General features: G+C 39.0%; 1 gene; it reads left to right on the top strand.

The window, feature by feature from the left end:
- Positions 1 to 12172, top strand: part of IGK (immunoglobulin kappa locus) — a 1378008-nt gene that overhangs the window by 755133 nt on the left and 610703 nt on the right.

Below are 12172 nucleotides of genomic sequence, written 5' to 3' on the forward strand. Positions count from 1 at the left end.
AACTCAGGGAAGCCGTCTAGGATGAGGTGTCCAGTAGACAGTGTCTCCTAGGAACAGGCTCCCGCTTCCCCCAGCCCCTCCCTCAACACCATGAGGCTGGGGCTTCACCTGACCTCTTGGGAGACTGTCCTTTTCCCCACCACCGCCCCCAGTCCTTCAGTGATTTTTCCTTTGGGGAATAATTTGGAATGAACCCAGAAGACAAGAGGAGGAAGAGAGCCCCCCACCCCCCCACCCCCAGAGAGTTGGAAGCCTCTTCTTTGCAGGGCACTTTTACAGTCTTTCTCTTTTTCAACCTTGAGAGGGGTGGATACATAGCTCAGTGTTGAACAGAAAAGGAACTGACGGGACCCAAAACCCAGACTGAAAAAAAAAAATGATGGAAAACAATAAAGAGGGAAAACAGTGTTCCTGAGCTCTGAGTGCACCTCCCAGCTGACAAGTTGCATTTGTGAAGTGTTTCGGCCTCTGCTGGCGTTAAGCTCAGCTGAAGGCAGCTGGGAGAGGAAGGGATGTGACAGCAGCCAGCTGCACAGCTCCGGCTGCGACCTGCTGGCCCAGACACCTGCAGCATGGTGAGGTCTAGTAACAGACTGGACTTTCTCCTCCCTTCCTAGTCTCCCCCTTCACCAAATGCACTTGCACCCTGGACCAACACCTGCAAGTGGCCCAGCTTCTCAGACTTAGGCTGCTCAACCTACACAGTCCCTTCCCCCAACCTCTTTCCCCTTCAGTGCTTTCTGCCACTGGAGAAGGCAAGACCATCTGTCCAGGTGCCTAAACCTGAAACTGAAGAGCCATCCTCACCTTCGGTCTCTCCTCATCTTCTAGGAGCTGGACCACTCCTCTGGCCATGGACATCCCTGTCCAGAATTGTGCCTCCTGCACCCTGTTTGAAGGTGGCATTCTCCTGGCCTCCAGGCTCTGCCCTGACCCTCTGTCTTCCCAGAGGCAGTGATCTTTCCTGAATGTGACTATGCTCACGTCACTCCCCTGATGAAACACCCTCAGTGTGTTTCATGATCAGCTCCCTGTGGCCCCTGTTCCTCTCCTGGAGAGGAGAGGAACTAAAAACACAAAAATACAAAAAATTAGCCGGGCGTGGTGGTGGGTGCCTGTAGTCCCAGCTACTCCAGAGGCTGAGGCAAGAGAATGGCGTGAACCTGGGAGGCAGAGCTTGCAGTGAGCCGAGATTGCGCCACTACACTCCAGCCTGGATGACAAAGCAAGACTCCGTCAAAAGAAATGAAGAAAAGAGAAGAGAAGAGACGAGACGAGGACAGAAAGAAAGACAGACCAGAAGAAAAGAAAAGAAAAGAGAAAAAGAGCATATCACCCAAATATGAGAAATTCTCCCATATATACATACTTGTATCTAGATGACTAATCTCTGGAAAGTTATAAGAAAACACTGGTTCTTTCCAAGGAAGGGATGGCCAAAAAGTAGGCTAACTTAACATTGTTCACTCTTTTTAAGACCTTTGTATTTCTTGTATCATGCACAGGTATTGCCTATTCAAAAACAAACCTACAACAGGGAAAGACTGAAAGCTTTTCTTCAGTATCTGCTACAAGGCAAGGATGCCTACTCTTAACACTTATATTCAACATAGTCCTAGCCAGAGCAATCACATAAGAAAAGGAAATAAAAGGCATCAGCAGAAAAAAGGGGGTAAAATTATCCCTGTGTGCAGATGACATGATCCTGTATGTAGAAACCCCTAAAAATTCCACAGTTACTAGAATAAATGAATTCAGTCAAGTAGCAGGATACAAAATCAATACACAAAAATCAGATGCATTTCTTTATACAAATAATGATCTGAAAAAAAATCAAGAAAACATTTCCACTTAAAATAACATCAAAAAGAATAAAACACTGAGGAACAAATTTAATGAAGGAAGTGAAAGCTTTATATACTAAACACTATAAAATACTGACAAAGTAAACTGAAGACACACAGCCGGGCATGGTGGCTCACGCCTGTAATCCCAGCACTTTGGGAGGCCAAGGCAGGTAGATCACCTGAAGTCAGGAGTTCAAGACCAGCCTGGCCAACATGGCGAAACCCTGTCTCTACTAAAAATACAAAAATTGGCCAGTCGGGCATGGTGGCAGGCACCTGTAATCCCAGCTACTTGGGGGGCTGAGGCAGCAGAATTGCTTGAACCCAGGAGGCGGTGGAGGTTGCAGTGAGCTGAGATCACACCACCGCACTTCTGCCTGGGCAACAGAGCGTGACTCTGTCTCAAAAAACAGAAAAAAACTACAGACACAAATAAATATAACGATATCCCCAAGTTTGTGGATTGGAAGAATATTGTTAAAATGTCCATACTATCCAAAGTGATCTACAGATTCAATGCAATTCCTATCAAATTTCCAAAGGCATTTTTCACAAAAATAGAAAACACAATTCTAAAATTTGTATTAAATCATAAAAGACCCTGAATAGCCAAAAGAATCTTGAGAAAGAAAAACAAAGTAGAAGGTATCACACTACCTGATTTCAACTTATATTACAAAGTGATAGTTATCAAAACATATGGTACTGGCATAAAAGCAGACACATGGATCAATGCAACTGAATACAGAGCCCAAAAATAAACCCAAACATATATTATGAGCTAATTTTTGACAAGTCCAATAAGATACAATAGGGAAAAGATGGTGTCTTCGATAAGTAGTGGTAAGAAAACTAGATATCTATATGCAAAAGAATGAAACTGGACCTGATGCCTATCTTACACATCATACATAAAAAGCAACTCAAATAGATTAAATACCTAACACCTGAAACCATAAAACTCCTAGAAGGAAATATAGGAGAAAAACTCCTTAATATCCTCCTTGACAATGATTTTTTGGATATCACACCAAAAGCTCAGGTAGCAAAAGCAAAAATAAGCAAGTGGGACTACATCAAACAAATAAGCTTCTGCATAGCAATAAAAAAAAAACAAAACGGGGTAAAAAGGTAGCACAGGGATTAGGGGAAAATATTGGCAAACCACACATCTGATAAGGGGTTAAAATCCAAAACATATAAGGAACTCACACAACTCAGTAGCAAAAAAAAAAAACCCCAAATAACTGGATTTTAAAATAGGCAAGGACCTGAATAGCCATTTTTCCAAAGTCACACAAATGGTCAAATGGTATATGAAAAGATGCTCAACATCATAATCATGAGGAAAATGAAAATCAAAACCACAATAGATATCATCTCGTGTCTCTTAGAATGACTATTAACAAAAAGTCAAAGACATAAGTGTTGGTGAGGATGTGTAGAAAATGAAACCTTTGTACATGGTTGATAGGAATGTAAATTAGTATAGCCATTATTGAAAACAGTATAGAGTTGCCTTAAAAAAAAAATACAACTACCATAAGATCCAACAGTGCCTCTGTTGGGCATATATTCAAAGGTAATAAAATCAGCATCTGAGAGAGACATCTGGGTTCCCACGTTCATGGCGGCATTACTCCCAATAGCCAAGACATGGAAACAAACTAAGTGTCCTAATGGACAATTTACTTACCCATTCAAGGACAGATGAATGGATAAAGAAATTGTGACATTTGTTTATACATATATTAAGTCCTCCCTTAATGTCATCAATAGGTTCTTGGGAACTGAGACGTTAAGCTAAATGAACATACAGCAGGTCCTCAAGTAACACTGTTTCCTTCAATCTAATTTTGGCATAATGCAAAATGAAAAAAAAATCAGTTTTGTCATACTTTTTTTCCCCTCTTAACCACAGTTTCTAAGAACTTACTGATGACAATGAGGACTTTATACAATGGAATAGTTAGCTTTAAGAAAGGAGATACTGCCATTTGTGACAACATAGATGAACCGGGAGGAAAGTATGCTAAATAAAGTAAGCCAGACACAGAAAAATACTGTATGATCTCACTTAAGAAGCAGAATGGGAGGCAGGGGGGTGAGAAGCTGAATGTATAGAGAGTAGAATGGTGGTTATCAAGAGTCTGGAGGTAGGGGATGGGTGGGATGGGCAGAAGTAGGTCGGAGGGTACAAATCTGCAGTTAGGTAAGATGAATAATTCTAGAGATCAAATTAATACACAGCATGAGAACCATAGTTAATAATATTGTGTACTGAAAATTTGCTGAAAGAGATTTTAGGTGTACATACACAGAGAGTAACTGTGGAAGGTGAAGGATACAGACATTTGTTTGACCATAGTAATCATTTCACTGTGTATACAAAGCATGTTGTATACCTCAGATATGTATAATAAAAATAAATGAAAAAAAAAACAACAAAAAACTGTATCCTACCTGCCAAAAACAGTTTCAAATGCATTATGTCTTTGGATTTAGCATGGAATTCACCTTTGCAGGCCCACTTACCTACAACATTATAAATATACCAGGTGATTCATTGTACTATTCACAGTAAAAGATTGAAAGAAAGCCAGGAGCGGTGGCTCACGCCTGTAATCCCAACACTTTGGGAGGCCGAGGCGGGCAGATCATGAGGTCAGGAGATCGAGACCATCCTGACTAACATGGTGAAACCCCGTCTCTACTAAAAATACAAAAAAATTAGCCGGGCGTGGTGGCGGGCACCTGTAGTCCCAGCTACTCGGGAGGCCGAGGCAGGAGAATGGCGTGAACCCAGGAGGCGGAGCTTGCAGTGAGCGAAGATCATGCCACTGCACTCCAGCCTGGGCGACAGAGCGAGACTCTGTCTCAAAAAAAAAAAAAAAAAAAAAAAAAAAAAGATTGAAAGAAACCCAAAGGTCTATCAACAGGGGAAAGAACAGGTAAATTAAATTGCTTATATTTCCATACAAAGGAATATTTGCAGCCATAAAAAAATGAAGGACAGTAAAAAGTAGGAAGACAAAAGGAACAAAATATATATATACACACACACACACACACACACACACACTATATATATAAACACACATTTCCTTGTACATGCATAAAACACATCTGGAAAGTTACACGAGAAACCTCTGAGGTTTCTGGAGATGCAAACTGGGGGCATGAAGGCAGGGGAAAGGGAAAGACTTCACTGTTTACCTTTTTATTATTTTCCAATTTTAAATCATTTGAATGTATAACTTGTCTAAAAATCAAATTTTAAAAGTTGAGGGAATTAACATTACAGAAAGTAACAAACCTCAAGGAAGCAGCCACCTTCACCAGATGGACAGTCTACCTCACTCTTCCCACGCTCCAGTAGTTACTGAATGCCAGTCCCCTCCCTCCATTCAGTCTGCCCCACCTGCTGGCCTTCTAGAGCCTCAGAGCAGTCCTATTCCCACACCTCCAAACACATCCATACACTGTGATGGTCGATCTGGGACCACCAGTTGAGAGGAAATGTGTTGTGTTTCCACTCTTCAGACAAACAGAGTGTTATTTTATTGAGGTTTGGGATTTTTTCTTGCATTAACAGGGTTTCTAGATCCCAGTAGGTGAATGAGAAAGAAGTATGCTTTTATTGTATAAGGAATTTGTTTCTGATACACCAAAGTGATGATGTATGACTTTTCTTAAAGAAGTGGTTATTAGAAGAGTTAAAAATCAATAGAAACAAAAAGTCATAGGTATTGTTCCAATACTCCAGGAACATCACAATTTGGATTCTGTAGATGTGTGTAATATAATGTGTAATATTACATTCTGACAACCTCAAGTTGAAAACTGCACAGCTGAAGATCACTTATAGTCAATAACACTTTTCAAACTTTAATTTTAAATTCATTAAGTCTCTCCCTAATGTATCGTACTTTTTAATAAAGGAAACTGTCAGATACGCTATAATACAGAGGAAAACGTTTATATACTCTTTCATTATAATTTTTCCACAACTTCCAAAATGAAGAAAAAGACATGGAAACATTAAGTTCAGAGAATAATTGTGGCAGGCAATTCCCTCCTCCTGAAAGTTCAATTACCCCAACACAGGCAAAATTTCTTACTAACTCAAAAGGAACTGAATTCACATATAAAGACAAACGTGGGATTCTGTTGAGTTCTGTTGGACACAGAACACAATTGCTCAAGCACTGGTTGGGCACCTGTATTCTAATAGCTCACGATTACTGAGCACTCCATGTCTGGGAAGAGCCAGTGCTGGGTGCCTGACACGCATCCTTGCACCTCATCAGCACAACTATCCCATGGGCTCATCCTGGTTCACCTATTTTATAAAAGAGAACACTAACATCAGAGAAGTTAAAAAATTTGCCTAAAAACATCCAGAGTAGGTTTCATCGTTGCCCACTACTTTATAATGCTTTCCCAAGGGTACTGAGACGTTATCAAAACATGTTAGTGAAACAGTCTAAAACATCACAAATTTTAGGTTTAATACAAAATACCCAGAAAAGGACAGCGTTATTAGAAATCTCAGCATAATGTAATAATAAGAACTTATGATGATTGTATTCTTTTCCTATTTTCTCTCCCGTACAGGCATATGAAATACCTTAAAACTTATTTTAGTGGTGTGTGTGTACATGTAGTTTCAGGATAATATAGTAATCTAAAACATTTTTAATATGGCAAAGTGTGGCAATACTAAATTTTTAAAAAGGATTTTTATTTAGCAAACAGAAAGCAAAAATGTTGTCCAAGTAACATGCATTTATTTTATCCCTAGGAATGTACCTTTCCTTCTGCAAAGGATGTGAGATCCTGGCATGTAAATGAACATGAGGGACTAGTCATGAAAATACTGTATATTCAATTCCTTAAATTCTAAAATTGTCTTAGCATTTAACATCTAACACACTAAACAATCTTTTTTCATATTCAATAAAAATAAAGACAAATTCAGTAAATTCAGATGGGCTATTTTATCACATAAATTTTAAAAAAGCAAGGGTAATTTTTCAACTGATTTTCTTTTACCGTGATACGAGTCAATGAGAAAATATGAAATTGAAACATATCACCATTTCTCAGTGTTTACAAGTGGTAAGTCACAAGGAAAACCTTCCAAGATCTTCTGTGTTGTTTTTAAAAGGTATTATAATCACATAATTTGGGAAACAATGTGTACTATTATCAAGAAACCTTTCATATTTTGTGAAATGGAGCACTTCCCAAATTTAAGAGACTATGGAAACCTTTTTCAGACATTTTTTAACATCCTCAGAAATGGAAATTCTTGTTAATGCTGATCTGATCAATTCCTCCAAGTATATGGACTACTTCTTTGCAAACTCCAAGCCCCCAAATCAAATTACCTGTTCAACTGTACCTGAAAATCAGTTACATACAAACATCAGAAAGTGTTTCTCCCAGCAACATAGACCCAAAACATACTACAAAACAAAAATTATCAAGAACATACAAAAGACATATCTTTTCATGTATTTATTTATTTTTTGAGATGGAGTCTCACTCTGTCACCAGGCTGGAGTGCAATGGCTCGATCTTGGCTCACTGCAACCTCTGCCTCCTGGGTTCAAGCAATCCTCTGCCTCTGCCTCCCAAATAGCTGGGATTACAGGTGCCTGCCACCACGCCCAGCTAATTTTTGTATTTTTAGTAAAGACGAGGTTTCACCACGTTGGCTAGGATGGTCTTGATCTCCTGACCTCAGGTGATCCACCCGCCTTGGCCTCCCAAAGTGCTGGGATTACAGGCATGAGCCACCGAGCCCGGCCACAAAAGACATACCTTTTCAAAGCCACAATTACCTCTCACCTGGACCATTGTTTCTCACTGATCTACCTGTCATAACTCTTGCACCTAATCATCTACTTATATCATAGGAGAGTGTTCCTCTTAAAATATAAATAAGATCATGGTGTTCTTCTTTTCAGGAACATTCAATGGCCTCCCATTCCATTGCTATTAAGCACAAACTACTGACACATCACCTTATGGTTGTGTGAGATATACTGAGCCGTCCTTCTTGTCCTCACATCTCTAACCTTCTCACCTTCTGACTGTCCCCTCTGCTCACTCTGTTGGTCTCCACAACACTCTTCAAACATGCTCAGCACACTCTCACCCAGAGCCTTTACACTGGCTTCCTCACTGTCTGGGGTGCTCTTCTCTCAGGTAATCAAGTGGCTCACTCACTCACCTCTTTAAAATCTGTGCTCAAATACTGCTTTCTGTTCATATGGACCCTAAACACCTGTCTGTACTTCCAATTCCTTTTTTTCTTTTTTGGAGATGGAGTCTTGCTCTGTTACCCACGCTGGAGTGCGGTGGTGCAATCTCGGCTCACTGTAACCTCCGCCTCCCAGGTTCAAGCAATTCTCCTGCCTTGGCCTCCCAAGTAGCTGGGATTAGAGGTGCATGCCACTGAGCCCGGCTAATTTTTGTATTTTTAGCAGAGAACAGGTTTCACCATGTTGGCCAGTCTGGTCTCGAACTCCTGACCTCAAGTGATCTACCTACCTCGGCCTCCCAAAGTGCTGAGATTACAGGCATAAGCCACTGTGCCTGGCCAGGCAATTCCTCTTTATCAAACTTTATTTTTACCATGGAACTTGCCAAACACATTATAATTAACTGATTTTTTTTAAGAGTTGAGTTACCTAACATTAAAATATAAACTCTATGCAGAGAATTCTACCTGCTTTGTACACTGATATGATTTCCAACATCTGACATACAGTAGGTATTCAATAAATTCTATTGTCTAAAAGCCGGCTGCAGTGGCGCATGCCTATAGTACCTGCTACTTGAGAGGCTGAGGCAGGAGGATCACTTGAGCCCAGGAGCTGGAAACCAGCCTGGGCAATGTAACAAGACACTGCCCCTTAAAAAAAAAAAAAAAAAAAAAAACTATGAAATAAAATGTAATGGAACAGAAATAATTATCACTTCACTTCTGAATCAGTTGAAAATAAATAACTGCCCCAAAAATGAGGAAACCTACAGTAATCCTCTTTAATTCATATTGGATTTTAGGTTACTATTAAAATGTTTTGCTATCTCAAGAATTCAGCAGGCTGAGCAGAGCAGATGGCTTGAGCCCAGGAGTTCAAGACCAGTCTTGGCAAAATGGCAAAACCCCATCTCTACAAAAAAATACAAAAATTAGCCAGGCGTGGTGGCCCACATCCATGGTCCCAGCTACTCAGGAGGCTGAGGTAGGAGGGTCGCATGAACCCAGTAGGCAGAGGTTGTAGTAAGCCAAGATCATGCCACTGCACTCTAACCTGGGCAACAGAGCAAGACCCTGTCTCCCAACCAAAAAAAAAAAAAAAAGAATTCAGCTAGAAAAACCTTATATTTACTTTGATTAAGAAAATGTTTATAAACCAATACTTTATGATGCACACTGGTGAATATGAAGTTATACCTGAAGTAATATTAAATGACAGCTTTTCCATTTCTAGAATATATGCCTCAACTACCTTAACTTAAACATGGTATTATCCAAACTCACAGTATCTGAGAAGGTTTGTGTCGTTATCTAGCAAACTAAAGTCAAGCCCTCTGTATTTCCCCACCTGTGATCTTCAAAGATATGGTGCTCCTTGAGATTTGTGTAAGGTAGGTCTGTTCTAAAATGTGTGAAAGGAAGAGAACCCGAAAAGGCAAGGTCTAAGAAGATCACTCATTTGGAGATGGCAAGGGTCACATCGGGGTTATCTAAGTCAGTGTGATTTACCCCTTGGTAAATCATACACATATTTCAAAAGTTACTTTATATGCTGTAATTCTTGCACACATATTTCACGGAAAATAAATTAGTATTACCTCGACTATCATCCATATCACCATCCCTTGAATGTTCTGATTGGATGTCTGGAGGGGTCTGAAGGACGGCCACGCTATTCTGATTTATAATCTTCAATCTCAGTTTTGGTTTTGACAGTTTTCTTCTTGGAACTGTAACTGTGAGGCTCTGTAACTGAGTCATCCCTGATTCAGTCAAACACACACCATCCTGGGTATAAGTCTTGGGTGGGTCTAAAATTACAAAATCCCAAGAATACAAATTTAAACTTTCATTTTAAATTTGACTGATTACTGTTCCAAAATACCCATGTCAAGGGAATGTGACTGTAGTTCTAGAAAGTAATTACGTATCTATGAAATGCATGAATAATTAATTTCATGATACCCAATAAAAACTAGGAACAATAGGTCAAACTTCCTTGGATTATAGGCAGAAAAGTTACATGTTTTTTAAAAATGGTCTTCCTGGGCCCGTTGCGGGGGCTCATGCCTGTAATCCCAGCACTCTGGGAGGCCGAGGCGGCAGGCAGATCACGAGGTCAGGAGATTGAGACCATCCTGGCAAACACAGTGAAACCCTTTCTCTTCTAAAAATACAAAAAATTAGCCTGGCATGGTGGCGGGCACCTATAATCCCAGCTATGCGTGAGGCTGAGGCAGGAGAATCGCTTGAACCCAGGAGGCAGAGGTTGCAGTGAGCCGAGATCGTGCCACTGTACTCCAGCCTGGGCAACAGGGCGAGACTCCATCTCAAAAAAGTCTTCCTGGCATTTCTATTTTCATGTCCCAATAAAAACCGTTAGAAGCACTGCAAATAAATTCAATGCTCAGCTAATCCACTATGAGCTTTTTCCTGGAAAAGATCAAAAGGCAGGGATCTATTTACGCAAGAGAAGAGAGAATACTCCAGAAGCTCATCTGGAAAAATCAGATTATCAACATAATTACTAATAGGGAGAAGTAATAAATAAGTACAAATCCTGCAGATTTAATTTTAAATGTACAAAACTGTTGTTCCTTAGAACAATTTCTGTACTATCCAAATGTTTTTGTATCAGGTGCTATTAAATACAAGTATTCAAAAGAATGACTGTTTAATAAGAATATCATATTAATCACCATACTAGGCTTATTAATTATTTTAAAAAATTAAGAGATTGAATTAATTCTAAAAGAAATCTGCTTGCTAACTAGGCCGTATTTTCTGCTAACTGATAATTAAGCACAGTAATATATCAATGAAACCAAAGCAAGTATGGCATTAACGGTTATTCTAAGAGCTGTTATTTTTGTTGCCAACTTGCTGAAATTTATAGGAATACTGCCCCAGTAAAGCTGGATGACATTTTATATATCATTGTGGAAATGATTACCAACATTACGGAATTTGGATAGAACAACCATATGATTGAAGCAGATTTTACAAGTGGTAAGCCAATTATGTAAAAATTAAGCAAAGTAAATTAATTAAATTAAGTAAAGCATTCCAAATTTTAACTAGCTCTTTTACTTTTGTGACAATTTGTGCTACAAGTGAAGATCTACAGCAGTCTGAGGAAGGCACTGAAATGAAAAAAAAAATCCAGGTAATTCTTTTCAGAAAAGGTAAAGTGTATTTACATACTTATATATGATTAAAATTTCTGTTTCTATACTCATTTTATTAAAATAAATGTTTGAACACTAAAGTTAAAAGCACTTTTTAAAGCAACAACAAAACAAGAAGTGATGAAGGAAATACTCAAGTCATGGAGGAAAACTTGGCTAAGAAAGAATCAACACATTGGATTTTAACATATTGTCAATAACTACAAGATCATGTTCCTTGGAAGCAAAATTATAGTTTACATCTAAAGTATATGCTTTTTACTGTTTCATGTAAATTGTTTTATAACAAGTTGTGATAAGTCATGTATAACCAACAATAATATTTTTCATAAAATACTTGTCAAAGTAAGTTTCACAAAGACAAAATAGAGTGGAGCTAAGCTAATTCATTGGTTATGGACAGTAAGGTGCAAGTGAGTGGTACAAGAGTGCAGACTCACAGTTTAAATTACTCTCTTACCATTAGACGCAGGCATATAGGGTCTGCACATGTTACAATCAAAACCAATGTCTGCTACATTTTCCACTTCTTCCTCAGTATTTAAGTTCTGACGAACTGCATGCATCCATCTAAAAAGACCATATTTGTACATTTTTAAAAAAAATGGAATATACTGAGAACTGCTACCTTTTAAAACCTGTAACACTGAGTCATCAAACTTAAAAGCCCTAAGCCTCACATGCTCCTCCTACCTTGCCCTTTTCTCCTAACTATCCCTATTAACAGAAAAACTTTCATAGAGCTAAGGAGGAAATAAAAAGGAATGAGAACAACTATTAGAGAGGAAGCAAAGCACATTACAAAAGGAAGCTAATTATTTTATCATCATATATTAAATATTTCAAAGACAGCAAGGAAGCTA

The sequence above is a fragment of the Homo sapiens genome, chromosome 2 (assembly GCF_000001405.40).
Source record: "Homo sapiens chromosome 2, GRCh38.p14 Primary Assembly".
Classification (NCBI taxonomy): Eukaryota; Metazoa; Chordata; class Mammalia; order Primates; family Hominidae; genus Homo; species Homo sapiens.